The sequence below is a fragment of the Homo sapiens genome, chromosome 21 (genome assembly GCF_000001405.40).
Source record: "Homo sapiens chromosome 21, GRCh38.p14 Primary Assembly".
Classification (NCBI taxonomy): Eukaryota; Metazoa; Chordata; class Mammalia; order Primates; family Hominidae; genus Homo; species Homo sapiens.
In genome coordinates, this window is record NC_000021.9 from 37,474,936 (window position 1) to 37,493,585 (window position 18,650).

General features: G+C 37.3%; 1 protein-coding gene and 1 long non-coding RNA gene across 10 annotated transcripts in view, besides 1 other annotated feature; one reads left to right on the plus strand and one right to left on the minus strand.

The window, feature by feature from the left end:
* Nucleotides 1-18,650, plus strand: part of DYRK1A (dual specificity tyrosine phosphorylation regulated kinase 1A) — a 160,786-nt gene that overhangs the window by 109,363 nt on the left and 32,773 nt on the right. For 4 of the 7 annotated variants that reach the window (NM_001347722.2, NM_001347721.2, NM_001347723.2 and 1 more), the window contains 5 exons: nt 3,273-3,365; nt 5,703-5,891; nt 11,532-11,679; nt 15,240-15,526; nt 18,082-18,228. In NM_001347722.2, coding sequence (NP_001334651.1) covers nt 3,273-3,365; nt 5,703-5,891; nt 11,532-11,679; nt 15,240-15,526; nt 18,082-18,228 — 864 coding nt within the window. Of the gene's footprint in view, nt 1-3,245; nt 3,366-5,702; nt 5,892-11,531; nt 11,680-15,239; nt 15,527-18,081; nt 18,229-18,650 lie in introns of all 7 variants that reach the window. The other 3 variants (NM_001396.5, NM_101395.2, NM_130438.2) reach the window with 1 other exon arrangement.
* LOC105372797 (uncharacterized) lies at nt 4,098-15,110 on the minus strand. 3 transcript variants are annotated; one of them, XR_001755034.2, is made up of 3 exons: nt 15,012-15,076; nt 14,617-14,689; nt 4,098-4,181 (listed from the first exon to the last, which is right to left on the minus strand). It is a non-coding gene; the product is annotated as an uncharacterized LOC105372797 (long non-coding RNA). The 3 variants fall into 3 exon arrangements; XR_002958655.2 differs by lacking the exon at nt 4,098-4,181 and adding an exon at nt 12,305-12,392 and having other exon boundaries at nt 15,026-15,110; XR_002958654.1 differs by lacking the exon at nt 4,098-4,181 and adding an exon at nt 12,305-12,392.
* Nucleotides 8,828-9,415: an enhancer, noted in NCBI's record as "NANOG-H3K27ac hESC enhancer chr21:38856065-38856652 (GRCh37/hg19 assembly coordinates)". NCBI's record gives its function as "activates a minimal SCP1, AML or CMV promoter by ChIP-STARR-seq in naive H9 embryonic stem cells {active_cell/tissue: H9 hESC(naive)}" and the evidence as "EXISTENCE:reporter gene assay evidence [ECO:0000049][PMID:30033119]".

Genomic DNA, 18,650 nt, shown 5'->3' on the forward strand with positions numbered 1-18,650 from the left:
TACAGTGTTTCTGATTCTTCATTATATAGGAAAACAGGAGGTAAATATAAATAAAATGAAATAGGTATTATAATGGAAAACAGTTTTTGAAAGGAGTCCTAGAGCTTATACTAAAGAATCTTTTCAGGACAAAAGTTAATTATTGTTTTAGCTCTTATAACTGATCTAAGCAGGAGGTTTGTAATCTGGGTGAAGTAAAAGGAGCAAGAGATGTGAGCATTGAGGGTGTACTGTTTCTAGCTCCTGGAGGCAGATAGCTGAGGCAGCAGGAGGAGGTCACCTCAACTTCCCTTTTATTAGGTTACTTGCCTTGCAAAAGGGGTCATTTCTGCAGCTTGGTGAGCTCCTGGGTCCTCTGAACACCATGGACTTAACTTTTTGCTGTAGAAGGTAGAAGGGAGCTTGCTCTATTACTGTACATTCTCTTGACTTTGGCTAGCAGAAGCAGGAAGTAGAGAAAGTGTCAGATGCTTAGGGCTGGCCTTGAGTGTTAGTATAGATATATAAGTAGGTATTTGGAAAAGCTGCTTTCTAATTCTGGATATGTACTAATGGCATCACAATGTTCCAAAAGAAAAAATTGGTTAATATGAAATCACAATGAAAGCATAGGGAGTATTACTTGCTTTGTAGACATTTATTTGTTCTTTCCATGTATTTTGAGCATCTCAATGCAGGATGTTGTTTGAAGCATGAAATATAAACAGCTTGGCCTTGTAGGCAGAGTATGACCAGTTGTGGAAAAGATTAGCAACATTTTGTGAAGTGCTAAGCACACAGCACACACTCATATTGAGTGCAGAAATTTGATCATGTAACTCATGTTTATATCCTATTTTGTATATGTACTGTATATTTGAAATTTTTTTTTGATTATATGTGATTTTGGTGTTTTTTAGTGAGCATCATTACTCCTGAATGTAGTTACTGATTCTTTTTTCAGATGTTTGAAATACCAGTGGAATTGTAAATGGGCAAGTTAAAAACTTAAAGACATTCACAGTTTTTTGATGTAACTAATTTTAATAAATGCCTTTGCTTATTTTAGGCATACCTCAATTACTTTGCTCAACAAATAGCCTAAAAATGACTGCTAAGAGGGTAGACTAGAGGCGTAACATTGATAGGGAGCTCCTGGCAAGAGTGTCCTCGTTAAGAGCCTGGGGTTAGGCATGGACATCTTCAGCTACAATATTATAGTAGCTGCACTACGATAATATTTCGGACCACCCGGATGGTGATTTTCCTGTTCTTTAACTGGCTCTGGGACCTTGGTCAAGTTCTTTAACGTTGGAGACTCTGGTTTCGCGTGTGTAAAATGGTCACAGGAATGGTATTTATCTCCCTTGAGATTGTTGAGGGGATTGCATGGAAGACTTGTAAAAATATGCATGCTAAAAACATGTTGTTCAGTAAATACCTGCTACTGTTATTGTTACTTTATTATTAAGTTATTCGGTTGACTCTACCAATGACTTATACTTCCTGTCAACTTTTATTATAGCAGTAATGAAGCATTGCACTGATTCAGATTTTGTGAAACCTCACATTTAGGCTGCACTCCACCAGCCCAAGAAAGGGGCTTACTGAATAAACTACCTACATGAAAACAATGCTGGGAACTTAAATTAAAAAAGAAAAGACATTTAAGGGAAACCTTTCATCACCCTAAATGCTTACAGCATTCATTCACAGAAAAACTGACGTTTATTACCCATATTAATTTATGCATTAAGTCCTTAAGGAATAGTATAAAAATATTCTGTGAACTTAGCATTAGCTACTGTTTAGAAAAGTAAGACTGTCTATTTGAAAAATTAAATCAGATCATCTTCTTAATTCTGATGATTTTTGTCAGACAAATAGTATAATCACCAAGGGTTCCCCCCCCCCCCAACCTTATTTGGAATTAAGAAGCACAGGACTTTGAGAAGAGATAGTGTTATTTCAGTAAATGGGTGAATTTGCCCTCTGGGTAACAACTTTTTAGAGTTTGAGTATACATGCAGAAGAAACCAGTGTTAATGTTGGTTCATGATAAAGCGCACGTAGTAAAGTTCATGATTTACAGCACGTAAAATGCTGTAACAATTCTGTCTTTTCGGACCACATGGATGGTGATTTTTCCTGTTCTGTCCACTGGTACAAACCTCCCCTCTTCTCTTTTTTGGTGTGGGTTAGGTTAACAATTATACCATGACTCCACACATTTTTGCGAGGTCTTAGTATGATGTGTTTACTGTCACTCTGCCCCTCCGATTGACCCGAGTGTCCTTGGAGAGATGTTGTGTCAGGGTCTTCTGGCTCATTTCCCAGCACAAATGTCCAGAAGAGTTGGGCAGGAACACAAAGATGGGCCAGGGGGAATGGCTGTGACCACCTTGATGGAAATAATTGGTTTTGAGGATCTGTTGATTGCAAGAACCCCCATTGGGAATCCTTTGACTGAGGCATGGCACTTGCTGGAGCAGTGGCACTTGGACAGCAATCCAGGATCATTGATGCTAGCCACAGCACTCCTGGGGTGTGTGTATAGAGGGGGTGCATGCCCCTGCTCTATCATCTGTTGTAATTGCTGTGGAAACGGTCTAGCAGGATGCTCACGGTGGAACCCCTCATTGCCTGTCAGATGGTGTCGAGAGCCATGAGTTGGGATCAGGGAAGGGGACTGTGAGGGCAAGCCTTGGTTAGGGGCAGATATTTGTCAGAGGGCAGCAGGGTCTGGAGACATTAGGAGCTGAATTTCTTCTTATTAGGAGCAGTTGGAGGGAATGGTGCTCTGCTGCCAGCCCCCTTTTTTGGTGCCAGCTGGGTCCTGAAATCCTATGTTAAGGAAGCTGAAAGTTGCCTCTGAGGGCTGGGTTTATCTTTGTCTGCTAGTTGTGAACCTGGTCAGGTTTTAGGAATAATTCAGAAAAAAATTTTCTTTGGGCTAATTGTGTGGTAGAGAAGCCCTCGTGGGCAACATCCTGTGTGTCTCCTAGATTGGCGTATGTCTGCATTTCTACCACTTTAAATTTGGCGGAATAGGATCAAAGCCTCAGGCAGCTGGGCATATTATCCTCTAATTTCATTGATTTGTTCTAGTGGTTGTCTTTATTGGAATCCACATGAAAGGGAACTTTGAGAGAGAATGTATAATCATCTAATGTGTAGCTGTCTTTAAAAAAGTAGATACATGCAGGTTACAGAAGAGGGAATTTATATCTTATAGTTAAAGTGCTAGTCTTTTCTGTCTATTTAAGGTGATGCCTGATATTGTCATGTTACAGAGGCGGATGCCCCAAACCTTCCGTGACCCAGCAACTGCTCCCCTGAGAAAACTTTCTGTTGACTTGATCAAAACATACAAGCATATTAATGAGGTAAGACTTGATTTGTTATAATAACATCTATCTTGCAGTATGTCATTGAGAAAAAAAGTGTGACCTATTTACCCTAAACTTTTTTTTCATTCCTAGTAGTTGTCATATTGATGATTATTATGAAGACTAATGATTTAGAAATAATATTACAATTATGTAAAAGATATATTAACAAGGACTGCAGAGTATAAAGATAATTGTGGATAACTTGATTTTTTTAAGGTTGTATTTAATATACTGTTATTTCTTTTTTTAATTTTTATTTTTTGTTTTTTATTTCATTTGAGTTCTGTAATAACTTATTCAAAACAAGAAAGGGGAATAAGGACTCTAAAAGTATATATGTGTTAGAATTTTTGCTAGAATTTTTATATATTTGTTTCTGCTTTTGCCATGGGTGTCAGGAAGCTCTGAAATATGTTTAATACCTAGTTACAGGCATTTGGCCTAGTTTATTTGATCTATCTATATTTCTGTGATTTTATTGTCTTTTAACTTTTTATGTGTGTTCTTTTATCTATATCTTTTTATGATAAGATGTCCAGAAGCTTTTTTGTTGTAAGTAAATAAGATAAAAAACAGACACAGCACTTTGAATTCCTTGCCTGTACTTGGTGTTTTGCCACCGAAAATTTTTCTGGTGTCTTGGACCATTGGCTTCATTGCCATTTGCTTGTGGCTTCAACTCTGTCTCCAAAGTTAATTATTAAAGGAGCATTTCTGGAGAAGAATCCATGCTTTCTTTCCTCTTCTAGTGGGAGCCCTGCACCCTTTCATGTTGAAGGCTTGTCCTTTGCCAGCTTTAGAGCTGCTTAGCTGAAAAGTGAAAAGATGTTCTTAGGTACATGCAAATTTTATAGCAATTTAATGTTATTTAATGACAGTATTACTACATTACAGTGGCAGTGTGGCAACGTAAAATTAGAATGAACTCTGTGAGGAACATTTCTGAGTTAGATTTTGTACACATTTATATATTATAAACATGTTCCAGACTAGCTTGTGATTATCTGAATATATCTGATAAATTGTTGATAACAGTATATTAATTTCAATTTGTTATTATCTGATAAATTGTTAACAAAGCTACAGTTAAACTGTTGTTAACAGTAGCTTTCTTGGAGCTTGTTTTTAAGTGTCTTAACCACGTTATAAAGTAGACTTTTTCTGATGTTATTCCATGCAGTGTAATTTATAATTTCGCCAAAGTTAGTTTACCAGTTACCTGGACTGTTTCCTAGTTCATCTAGTATTTTTTTTTTTTACTAGTCTTAGAAACAGTGTTGGTGTTTTGTTTTTGTTTTTGTTTTTGTTTTTTGTTTTTTTTTTTTTTTTTGGAGACAGAGTCTCACTTTGTCACCAAGGCTGCCAGCCTGGAGTGCAGTGGCGCGATCTCGGCTCACCGCAACCTCCGCCTCCCAGGTTCATACCTTTCTCCTGCCTCAGCCTCCTGAGTAGCTGGGACTACAGGTGCCCGCCACCATGCCCAGCTAATTTTTTGTATTTTTAGTAGAGACGGGGTTTCACCGTGTTAGCCAGGATGGTCTCGATCTCCTGACCTCGTGATCCACCCTCCTCGGCCTCCCAAAGTGCTGGGATTACAGGTGTGAGCCACCGCGCCTGGCCCAGAATCAGTGTTAAAGAAAATAACTCAGCCTGTGATTAACCATAGGCGTATGGTCTTTGGGAGTGGGGGCTAAGAGGCCATAGCTGTTTTTCATTAATCGTTATATTTTTATAGGTTTAAAAACTGGGCATGTCTCAGAGGGCCTATTTATTTTAGTAAAACATCACTTGGTCTACATCTGAACTTATTTTAAAAATATGTTGCCATAAAATCAAATATAAATAAATTCATGCAAGTTACAGAAGAGGGAATTTATATCAATAAATTCCCTTTATATCCCAAATATAAAGTTGGGATTGACTGGAAGGGGGCATGAGAGAACTTGAACTTGAGGGACATGAAAATGTTACTTGGCTGTTTGGCATTTGGTAACTTTTGTCAAAATTCCTCATGTTGAACTCTTAAGATCTGTGCCACCTCACTGTATATAAATTATACTTCAATTTAACAAATAAATATAAACCAGGTCCTTTTACTTTTCTTGAATGGCATACTTTGGACAAGTCACTTAACATTTTTTGTTTACAAAGTCTATAAACAGTATAACTATAATGAATTTCACTGTATAAATTTTTTCATTGGTTAGATCAGTATTATTTTCTAACTCAAATGTCAACTGTAGAAAATAGGTGTGTGTCAATATACTCTGATAATGCCCTTCCTCACAGTGATTTAAATTTTACAGTTAACACTATGTATTCTCATTTCAGGTTTACTATGCAAAAAAGAAGCGAAGACACCAACAGGGCCAGGGAGACGATTCTAGTCATAAGAAGGAACGGAAGGTTTACAATGATGGTTATGATGATGATAACTATGATTATATTGTAAAAAACGGAGAAAAGTGGATGGATCGTTACGAAATTGACTCCTTGATAGGCAAAGGTTCCTTTGGACAGGTAATTTAATGGAAAATGCTGAATTTCATTAGTTAGAAAGAACTTCTTAGTGAATCTTGTTGTTAACAGCCCTTCCTCAAGAGTGTACTTTTAATATTTGCAAATAGAGCTCAGCAATGGATATGCAAGTATTTGGATGACCATAATTCTTTAAAGGTAGTGATACTGCATCAGTAATATAAACTCCTTAGACTTCTAAAAACTTTTATGGCTACCAAGTGCTCATTTTACTAATGACTGGTGAATTTTAATCACTTAATAGATAGTATTGCCTCTTTGTTATGGGCCTTGTATAGTCTGTAGATGATTGTTAATTACATATGCTAGAGGTATTTACCTTCTTGTCCGATAGACCACTTCAAAGAGAAAAGAATTACCATGTTCAGGTGGTGCAGTGGGAGTCCACTCACTTTTCAGGAGGCTTTGGAAAGCTGGGGGTTGTTCCCTGGCTTTTTCTCCCACTTCATGTTGTAACTATATCAGACCTCTAAGCAGGCAGGCAGTCTTAGTCTCTTGTATCAGTCGCACCAATACCAAGAGTTTTGGGTCTTTCTCCTTGTGCTTTATTTATTTATTTATTTAGAGACAGACTTGCACTCCTGTCACCCAGGCTGGAGTGCAGTGGTGCACTCTCGGCTCACTGCAACTTCCATTTCCCAGGTTCAAGTGATTCTCATGCCTCAGTCTCCCGAGTAGCTGGGATTACAGGTGTGTGCCTGTAACCACACCTGGCTAATTTTTGTATTTTTAGTAGAGACAGGGTTTCACCGTGTTGGCCAGGCTGGTCTCAAACTCCTGACCTCAGGTAATCCGCTCACCTTGGCCTCCCAAAGTGCTGGGATTTCAGGCGTGAGCCACCATGCCTGGCCTCCTTGTATTTTTAAAAATATTTTTTCGGGTCAGGCGTGGTGACTCACACCTATAATCCCAGCACTTTGGGAATCTGAAGCAGAAGGATCACCTGAGCCCAGTAATTCCAGAACAGCCTGGGCAACATAGCAAGACCTTGTCTCTATTCATTTAAAAAAAAAAAATGTTAGGGGGATCTCTGGTTGTGGTCCCCCAGCTGTTCCCAGTTGTAAGTCCTTCTATCACATTGAGTCACAGAGCTGTGTTTTGTTTGAGGTGTGATTTGCTGATAATCCCAGTCTCCTCTGCCTTGCAGCCCTTGTGGAATGAGATGGTTATTAATCTGCAGTCCAAACTTTTGACTTTTCGATGATGAGGATAGAATGGGAATCAAAATGACTTTTCCTAAATTGCCTTTTTTTGTTTTCTTAAACTATGGAACCTGCATGTGCTTACTTCTCTGTTCCTGCCCTGAGAGAACACAAAATACATGCTCCTTTTTAACCTGTGAGGAAAAAGCCATCATGCTTAAAACAGAAAGTGTTCTGTATTATCGGGGGAAATTCAGCCAGATATCGGGCAAAATTCACCCCCAATATTTCATGTAGGTTCTTTTCTATTTTCCCTAAGCGTCGGCCGGTTTGAGAAATAAAGGGACAGAGTACAAAAGAGAAATATTTTAAAGCTGGGCATCTGGGGGAGACATCACATGTCGGTAGGTTCTCTGATGCCCCACAAGCCGCAAAACCAGCAAGTTTTTATTAGGGATTTTCAAAAGGGGAGGGAGTATACGAATAAGGTGTGGGTCACAGAGATCACATACTTCACAAGGTAATATAATATCACAAGGCAAATGGAGGCAGGGCGAGATCGCAGGACCACAGGACCAGGGCGAAATTAAAATTGCTAATGAAGTTTTGGGCACCACTGTCATTGATAACATCTTATCAGGAGACAGGGTTTGAGAGCAGACAACTGGTCTGACCAAAATTTATTAGGCGGGAATTTCCTTGTCCTAATAAGCCTGGGGGTGCTATGGGAGACTGGGGCTTATTTCATCCCTACAGTCTCGACCATAGAAGACGGCCACACCCAAGGGGGCCATTTCAGAGACCTACCCTCAGGGGCTCATTCTCTTTCTCAGGGATGTTCCTTGCTGAGAAAAAGAATTCAGCGATATTTCTCCCATTTGCTTTTGAAAGAAGAGAAATATGGCTCTGTTCCGCCCGGGTCAGTGGTCAGAATTTAAGATTATCTCTCTTGTTCCCTGAACATTGCTGTTATCCTGTTCTTTTTTCAAGGTGCCCAGATTTCATATTGTTCAAACACACATGCTCTACAATTTGTGCAGTTAATGCAATCATCACAGGGTCCTGAGGCGACATACATCCTCCTCAGCTTACGAAAATGAAGGGATTAAGAGATTAAAGACAGGCATAGGAAATCACAAGGGTATTGATTGGGGAAGTGATAAGTGTCCATGAAATCTTCACAATTTATGTTTAGAGATTGCAGTAAAGACAGGCGTAAGAAATTATAAAAGTATTAATTTGGGGAACTAATAAATGTCCATGAAATCTTCACAATCCATGTTCTTCTGCCGTGGCTTCAGCTGGTCCCTCCGTTTGGGGTCCCTGACTTCCCGCAACACTCTATGTCATTAGCAGCCACAGGTCTAAATCCAGAAAAATAAACGTGTAAGCAAATATGAACATTTGTGTTAGACCTGTGTCACTCCAGTGTGGCCCTACCAGTCCCTGATGTCACGTGTATATGTCTTCTTCCCATGATTTGAAAGAATTTTGGTAATTACACATAATCCAGGGACTTTTTCCTTGAATTATAACCTCTTTTTCTTCTGAGGGGGTTTTCAGTGCTTTGGGAGTCCTTTTTTTTGTTTTGTTTTGTTTTGTTTTGTTTTTTAAGAGACAGGGTCTCACTGTATCAGCCTGGCAGGAGTGCAGTGGAGTAGTGATCATGGTTCACTGCCTCAACCTCCTGGGTTCAAGTGATCCTCCCACTTCAGCCTCTAGAGTAGCTGGGACTACAGGCACGTGCCACCATGCCTGGCTAATTTGTTGTTTTTTTGTAGAGGTGAGGTCTTACTGTGTTGCCCAGGCTGGTCTTGAACTCCTGGGCTCAACCAGTCCTCGCATCTCAGCTTCCCACAGTGCTGAGATTATAGGCCTGAGCCACCACACCTGGCCTGGGAGTCCCTCTTGATTAAGGTCTTCCTGTTAGTCAGAAGCAGCTTCTCTGTCAGCCTCTTAAGGAAAGGCATTTGTGAGGCCCAGTCCTTAACTAAGGGTGTGAATACCCTCTACTGGTTCCCAACCCGGGCTACACAGCAGGAGGTGAGTGGTCAGCAAGCATTACCGCCTGAGCTCCGCCCCGTCAGATCAGCAGCAGCGTTAGATTCTCAAAGGAGCTCAAACCCAATTGTGAACTGTGCATGCGAGGGATCTAGGTTGTGTACTCCTTATGAAAATCTAATGCCTAATGATGTGAGGCAGAACAGTTTGATCCCCAAACCATCCACCTCACCCCTACCTACCCTGGCCGTGAAAAAATTGACTGCTGCTCTAGACCTAGAGAGTGCTACCTCCGCCATGAAAACTTCACTAACGTTTGGGCAGTTGCACTCAATAGGTCCCTTTTTTTTTTTTTTTTGAGATGGAGTTTTGCTTTTGTTGCCCAGGCTGGAGTGCAATGGTGTGATCTTGGCTCATTGCACCCTCCGCCTTCTGGGTTCAGGTGATTCTCCTGCCTCAGCCTCTTGGGTAGCTGGGATTGCAGGTGCCCCCCACCACACCTGGCTAATTTTTATATTTTTAGTAGAGATGGGATTTCACCACGTTGGTCAGGCTGGTCTCGAGCTCCTGACCTCAGGTGATCCGCCTGCCTTGGCCTCCCAAATCATGCTGGGATTACAGGCATGAGCTGCTGTACAGGGCCTAATAGCTTACTTTCTAACTTTCCTGACATCTACCATGCAAATTGTAGCCATACAGGCTGCTCTGTAAGCTGATTGGCCCCTGATGACTCAGTCTTTGTGCTCATAGTTAGGTTTTTCTTCTCCCCTTCACCTTAGTTTTCTCATACTCAGATTCCACAGAACAAGTGAGCACAGGAACCCTGTGACGATAGAGTCCTGCTTGACGTTGAACTCCTTTTTCCCAGGGCAGACTGATACTTCCCCTCTTGGGCTGAGGTGTTGTGCAGTGTCCACGTTGAGGTTCAGGTCCTGTCCCTCACCAGAATAGTATCTTCTGTATAGACTTGGTCAGACTTTCTCCACATTCTGTGTCAGGTTATTGTCAAATAAGGGATTTCTCCATTTCCGTAGCCAATACTTACCAATCCTGATTGCGTATTGAAATTTCTTGGGGAGCTTACCCAAAAAATTACTGATGTCTGGGCTCCAGGCCAGTTAAATTCTCTAGGCATTGATGTAAAAGAAAAAAAAAACCTTATTAAATTTGTAATTCATGGTCAAAAACTGGCAGTTAGCCTGTTAACTGTTTGGCAAGTCAGTAGATACTTGGGCCCACATGAGTGTCCTTTATCCTGCAGCCCATCAGGATCTGGGCACTGAACTGCAACTCTTAGTGCAGTCAGTACATCCAGTGAAGCAGAAGCATATCAGAACCCCTTGGCCACATGTTTACAAGGGTAGCCTCTGTTATAAAAGACCACAGAGAGTGTCTTTTAGAATTGAGTGAAACCAGAGATTAGTGCATTTTTTATTCCAAGTTTGATTTCAGTTGAGCCATTCAGAATCTGTCACAGTAGATTTAGCCTTGACTGATGAAGATCTGAGAACATACGTTTCATCCTCTTCCTGACCTTATGGTTTCATCCTGCACCTTGGAATCATTTGGAGTTCCTTCCCCATCCCCAGGCTTTTTGAATGTGCTAGAAAATGTATCTAAAAGAATTACTTATTCAGACAATGTATAATATTATAAATGTAACTTCTATTTTATTAGTTGTAATGGTTGTCACTGGTTAATAAGAGATAACATTTTCTTTTACTTATATATTGATTTTGTAATGTTTATGTAAATCTTTTATAGTAGTATGAACCTCGTTTTAAATGAGTCAGATTTCAAGTGAGAGGTGTTGCATGGTGATGTGTGCTCATGAACGCTGTGCTTTCCTTAGCAGTAATTCTCATTTTAAAACTATCATAATCCCCCAATTATGGCGTTTGTGGCATTGTGGAACTTTACTGGTAATTTGTGTTTGATTTTTTTTTAGTCTAAACCAATTTTTCTTTTATATACTTAGGTTTTTATGTATGAAAATCTAATTGAAAGTTAGAAAGTTATCTGAAGCCTTCTGCTGATAAACTTTTAAATATTTCATACATATTCTTAGGGTTCAGGTATCTCTCATTAAAAGAATAGTTCGATGAGTTGTTTTATAGTGTTATTTAGTAAGAAAGATAAAAAAACCTAAGCATTTGTCAAGAGTCATAATTTATTTCTGAAGGAGGAAAATAGTTAATTTAATTTTATTAAGAAAATTATCTATTTTGTGGATATTTAGAAATATTGTACAAATGCAAAAAGAAATTCAATTTAAAAGATTGATTTAAAGTTACTGTGTAATAAGTGGATATATATTGAATAGAAATAGATGGCATCTCTTCTACTTAGGAAGGTCAGAAAAATAATTATAAAAACATATAATTGAGAATTAGGTAAATGTTATAATTAAGGTGAATTATAAATTATTGTGAAATTTTTGCAATTAATGAAATAGAGAATTATTCATCTTCTCTTTTAGGTTGTAAAGGCATATGATCGTGTGGAGCAAGAATGGGTTGCCATTAAAATAATAAAGAACAAGAAGGCTTTTCTGAATCAAGCACAGATAGAAGTGCGACTTCTTGAGCTCATGAACAAACATGACACTGAAATGAAATACTACATAGGTAAACAAACAGGCAAACAGCGCAGTGTGCCCCAACCCACACCAAAACTTTGAGTTAATGGTTCTTTTCTATCAAAATATTTTGATTTTATTTTAAAGTGGCTGATTAAAAATTTGTTTATTTCTGTTGGACAGCAAGATTTATATAAGTGACTTGATCTGGTAGTAATAGTCTAAATCTTGGGGAATGTGCCTTCCATGTAGCATACCATGTAGAAACAAATGAGAATAGTGTGTGTGTGTTTTTTATTTGCAACTTACTGGTACCATTTGTTTGCTAATAATGATGCATGTTTATCCATAGGGTCATCTTTCCAGTAACTTTAACCATTTCTAATCTAGCTCAGAAACTAGTTGTGAGCTAGTATGTTCTTAGTGGTTGTGGAACCATTTTTGGGGCATCTGCAACAAGATCTCAGGCTCCTCCCCAGTCTCTTCATCAGCTTGGCAGCATTAGAAGCTATTAGATTTACAACTACAGAAAAGAGATAATAGCCACTGCTTATTGAATTTCTACCACATTCCTTATGCTTTTCTTCCATCATCTGTAATAATTTATAGCAGTCTTATAAGGAAGATGGTAGAATCCTTAAGTTATGGTTGGTTTGTATAAGAAGCCCCATACCCAGGGTCATAGGGCTCTGCAGCTAAGATTGGAAGCTGCCGTACTTCTGCCTACTCCAAAGTCTGTTTCATTCTCACATAGTCTTCCTTCTGAAAACAGAAATAGGAGACAGAAGAATTATGACAATACTGAAGTCTAGGGCCATTTGATACATGGGCAAAATATCTTCTAGTACACCTTCTTTCGCAGTATTTTTTAATCAAATCTAATATGTCAGTGATTGTAAGACACCATCATTTTATGTACCGTCAAGGAAAAAACTGTTAAGTATTCATATAAGATGCCATCAATCGAAGATACAGACCTTAAGATCAGCACAGAGCCATAGTCACTTGTGTTCAGAAACACTGACCTTATTTGATACACGTAAGGCTGAGTTTTATTTAACAGATCTTTTAAGAAAACGTTATGATTCTTTGGTCCACCCCAAAAAGGTAGAAACAAATAATGGATCTTTAAAAGGGGCAAGCTTCAGATTGTTTAGATTTTGTTTGTGAAATACTTCTCATTCCTCATTATTAAAATATAAAATGAGTTTCTATTAATTTTTCTTAGTTTCTTTATAGATACTGATATAATTCATAATAATACCATTCTTATCTTAAAACCTTGTCACACACAATGAAACTTTGCTGTTCACTGTCAGTTATAACTTACATGAGGTGACCCATTTCCATTCAAGGGTTTTAGAAGCACATCAAGGACATTCTAAGGATGATTGACTTACACAATGATCTCTGAACATGCCTCCTGCCTTCTCCTCACTCTTGAGTATTTGCTTAGGGGAGCAGAAAAAATACTGGTAGCATTACTGTAACATTTTAATTCTGCTTTATTTAAAAAAGACATAGCTGGCATATAGTTAAGTACTGAAAAATGTTAGCTACTCAGTTATGTATAATGCTAGTATTTTGTTTTGAATAAAGTTGACATTAATGATCATATTATTAATTGTATTAGTTATTACAGATACTCTTTGGATGAGTTTTTAAATTCTTATTTCAGAAGATGGTGAATGCATAACGTCTCAAGAAACTGAGATTCTGTTTGGAAAACAAAAGAACTTTAGATTAGACAAGTTCATATCAATTGAATTGATACCTTAAACTTAAGGTATCCGAAAGTCATATTGATTTTTATGATGTAAATTAGTTTTAAAGTGATTGATGAGTCTGATTTATTCTGATGAGTTTTATTGTCTTGTCTTTGAACTTTAAAAAACATCTACTTCTTTACTGTGTAGCCAAATTTCTTATCTGGATTATTTGGTACCTGCCATGGTCTAGTTAAAAGAAAATTTAGTTGAAGTCTTCAACAAAGTCTTGCCAGCCCTCCATTCTCCCCAAAATTTGGTTAAAAAGACTGAACAAATATGCTTGTTTGAGCTTTCTTTGACAATGTCTTTAGTGCTCAGCACACTGTAGATACTAAGTAAATGAATAAAGAATTGTGAGGTCAAGTGAAACTAAGTAGATCTTTCATTGGACGAACATTGTGATCACAGAGCTTCTTAAAGGAATTTTTATAATCACATTAGAATTCTGACAGCAGTTACTTTTTGCATTCATTTAGTGGCACCTGCTTAACCAGGAGATTAAAAGCCATCCACAGACCATGATTGTGAGGTATCATGGAACTATGTTTTTAGTTTTAAACCTATAAACTGAAGTGACTAAGAGCAGATATTTTACATTCTTAGGTAACATTTAAGGATTCCTTTTGTTATTTTTAGTATCGAGTTGTGCTGTAGACTCCTATATAGCCATGTAGTTATTTTTATTGTGTTACTTATTCTAACTTTAGATCACCTATACCATGAAAGATCTAAAAGCAATATTGATGTTCACTGCTTTGAGGCAGGCAGCCCAGGACTATTCCCAGGAAAACACAATGTATCCACAGTTCTTAGTGATCAGACATTGATTACTATCAGTTTATTCCAGATAGATCTGTAGAGAAACCTCTCATTTTGTAATACTATAAGATAAAATGAAAATCACCTTGACAGATGGGTGTTTTATGTCATTGCAGTTGTGTTACAGGTGCTCAGTTTGGTATATATAAGACTTAACAGGGAGGGACAGCACTTTATCGAATAACCTCATCTGATGTGACGTCAGTGTTAATAGTTAAAGCACAATCTTTGAGGCAATTTAGTGAGTATTCAGCCTTTTTAGAGGGTCAACAGTGATAGCGACCTATGTATTCTATGCTGTTTCCCCACTCACAAGCCTCCTTATCATCTCTTCTTGTAGCTGAGCTTTATTTTGAAGTTTTCCAAACCTTCAGTCTCACACAAGAGTTGTCACTTACCAATTTGATAAACACAGTTAAGTCCTCCAATACTTTTACCAAAGCATGATTTTCAGACATTTGTTGTATTTGCCTAAAGGGTAAAAAAAAAAAAGGCTATCAATGAAAATTGTGACAGAAAATTACCAGTGAAATCTAAAGTTCAGCAGTGCAGATACATTTCAAAGCCTACACAGAGGGCTGCCAACTACAGCATTGTCACAAACCAGAGATCCCAGTAGGTGGAGCTTAGACATAGGAAGTTGTGAGGTAGGGCTCTCGGGAAGTAAAAAGTGCTTTCTTTTATAAATGAAGATAAAATTGCTGAAATATTCTCACTGCTGTTTGTCCATTTGGTCCTTATGTTTTCAGATCTGACTTTTAGAGAAACAAGGCATTTTGGTAGCACTGCTTACCTTATATCACTTACCGACATATGCTGTACCTGTTTAATTCAGCAGAAGAGCAACTTAGATATTCTTAACTGATTGAAAACTGCTGTTATTACAAAATGCTGATCTCCAAACTTTAACTGAACTCTGCATTTGATGTAATAATGTTATAGAACATTTGAGAGTGCATGTGTTTGTTACTCTCAGTTTATTGGTATATATAATTTAAAATGAAACTGTTTTCTCTTTCAGTGCATTTGAAACGCCACTTTATGTTTCGAAACCATCTCTGTTTAGTTTTTGAAATGCTGTCCTACAACCTCTATGACTTGCTGAGAAACACCAATTTCCGAGGGGTCTCTTTGAACCTAACACGAAAGTTTGCGCAACAGATGTGCACTGCACTGCTTTTCCTTGCGACTCCAGAACTTAGTATCATTCACTGTGATCTAAAACCTGAAAATATCCTTCTTTGTAACCCCAAACGCAGTGCAATCAAGATAGTTGACTTTGGCAGTTCTTGTCAGTTGGGGCAGAGGGTAAGTATTATTTCAGAACTTGTGAATTAAATAGAAATTAAATAGAAGTAGGTAGGACAGTGTAGGTATTAGGTTGGCGCAAAAGTAATTGCGGTTTTCGCCATTGCAGTTGCTGTTTTTGCAGTGGCAAAAACCGCAATTACTTTTGCGCCAACCTAATAGATATTTGAAATGTTAATAAGGTGTATACCATTTAGAGGCAATTACAGGATGCTTATTTATCTTTAAAATGTAGCACTTAATTACCTTGTGTTGATATCTATTTTGGGGAAATACCTTTTAAAATGCAAATAGCAATACTTTGAGTCAAAAGACATTGATTTTTTTGAAATGGGTATATTTAAAATTGTATGTATGCTAAAAGATTAAGGGAGAGAATAGGAGATGGAATGATTAAATATTAGGGGATTTGTAACTATATTTCCCAAGTAAAGGTTTTAGTATAAATTTTGGGACTTTCCAGTACTAGAACATTGAATCTTTGCTGTAAAATACTTCTCTGAAGATGGATCAAGATAAATCTTTTTTCTCAAAAACTGATGGTTCAAAAAAATGCAGGTAATTTTGCATTAGTCATGGTATAAGTATAGAAAATTCAGTTGATAGACTTACTTGTTTTGATAAATAAGTTTGTCTTATTTTCCCCACTCTTATTTAAAATTTACATAAATTCTGACACATATCCAAGCTGGTTTTTTTCAGACTGCTAAAAACAGATGTGTTCGTAGTGCTGATAAGTTTAGCTGATTTAGGAAAGCAGTTTTTTCCTGTCATTCTTCCAGCATTATGAAAACTACTCTAACAGCATTGTTTTATGTATAAAATAGAAGTGATAGGGGTCTCCTCTTGAAAGGAATTAGTGTCACCATTTGATAATATTTTACTCATTTTAAGCACTATTCTTTTTGCTTTAAGTATTGAAACTATATTTCTTCTGTTTTAAAGAAACCCGGCTAACATACAGATGTTAATTTTTCTTACTGACTTTTCTGTTTCTTATTTTTCCAAATTAGTGAAATTTTCTGTCCCGTCCTACTTTTGTCCAGGTTTTAACTATAACAGATTAATTTAATCATAAGGATTTATAGCCAATTAATAGGACTGTCTTTTTGTTATTTTCTGCAACTTCTCATGGTAGTGAGGCTATCAAATGTTAAAGTAATTTTTAAAAATTGGAGTAGGGAGCAAAGTTTGCAGTTTTAGATGCCTTCAAAAAATCAAGAGATGCTCGTAGTTAATATGTGGTAGAGTATATTGTGAATGAAAAATACATGCCCATCTTGACAGTAATTTGAATAGATTATAGAGTTGGGAAAATTTCCCCCTATTTAAGCCAAATTATGTATTTTGTCCTAATATTAAACATTATTATTTCTGTCTAGCCAAAATGAGCCAGTTATCCCTACAATAAGTTTTTAACTATTCAAGTTCATTGGCATCACATGGGAAGTTATTTCTAAAATAGACCTGCAGTGGTCCTGCCCCTAGATCTGTTGGATTAGAATCAGAAGGTGGTAGGGCAAGTGTGTTTTGGGGAAAGCAACTGCTTTAAACAAATTAGATAGGGAGGTGACAAAGTTCTTGGCATAAGCTGTGAAATAAAAGTCTCAGGAGTGGTGAGTGTTTGGGCCTAGGGAGTTAACAATGGTATTGGCTTATAAAAACCATGGAAATGTAATACTTCTTCCCAGTTCTTTTAAATTAGACTTTCTTCTCATAGTTCCTTAAGGTTGGTTGACCTACCTGTGGAGGCCTGAGATTGTTCTCGAAGACTTGGCTGGAGGTTTCAGTGGGAACCACAGAAAATTTCATGAGCTTTCTGGCTGCATGGTTTGGGTGTTAGGAAATTTAGTTAGGATTTTATTTCTTTTCCACTTTTAATAAGTGAAACAAATTGGTCTCTGAAGACATCCTAACATTACTTCATTGAAAATAGTCCATTTCAGGATTGTCTTTCTATAAGAAGTCTTGGATGGAGGTAGAGAGAGAAGATGAGAGAAGAAGCTATTGGTCAGAGACAGCTCTCAATTGAATCTTTATGTGGCAGTGTTTCTGGGATTTATCTGTGAGACAGCAAGAGTACAAATATCTGAATTTTAAATTATATTATATTGAAGTTACTTGACTTTTAACGCTGAGAAATACATTGTTTGGGTTAATTTAAATACTATTTAGTTGTAAAGTTAGTGGTAAACTAAGTGCCAGCCATAGTAGGAAGAAATAATTATTAGGGAAATACATTGCTTTCAATAGTGTTTTTTTTTTCCTAGTGAGGCATAATTGTTTTAAGAAATATCATGATGACTAGGTAGGATTAGACTAAATGAAAGGGCTTGAATCTTTACGTATTATGCATTTCACAGTCAGATTAACCAATCCCTCAAAATGTTTAGTTCTTTAAGCCGTATTCGTAGTCTAATGTTGAAGTTAATCAATGGAACCCTAATTCAGGAATTAGCCAATTCTTTTCTGTTAATATCAGATCAATGTTTTTAATCCAATGCTGACTGCAGTTTTAAGCAATTGAAGTAATACTATTTTGAAATATATTTCAGATATACCAGTATATTCAGAGTCGCTTTTATCGGTCTCCAGAGGTGCTACTGGGAATGCCTTATGACCTTGCCATTGATATGTGGTCCCTCGGGTGTATTTTGGTTGAAATGCACACTGGAGAACCTCTGTTCAGTGGTGCCAATGAGGTAAATGATGTATTGCTTTACAAATTCTGTTTTCATAATTTCTTTTTGTCTTTCATCTGTGACAGTGTAATTTAAAAGTTGTTTTTAGGCAAAGATGTCTACTTAATCATTCAAATGTGAGGTCAGTTTGAATATACCTATTTTTCATATTTGTCAGTTGTCATGTAAGTTTAGAATTATGAGATAGGAGTAGGATATTTTAATCTACTCATGAAGGAGAACAGTTAGAAAGTGTTAAGTATTTTGGCATACATTTTACAGGTTTTAAATACAATACAGAAAGCTTAAAGATGATAAAGAATGAAGGCCATCCTGAAGAGTGATACAAACATCACTCTAAATTTTGAGATTATGATTTGGAGTTGAAGAGTAATGATCAGTAGGACTGATGGATACTCAGTCTGAATAATGTAGAGTAAACG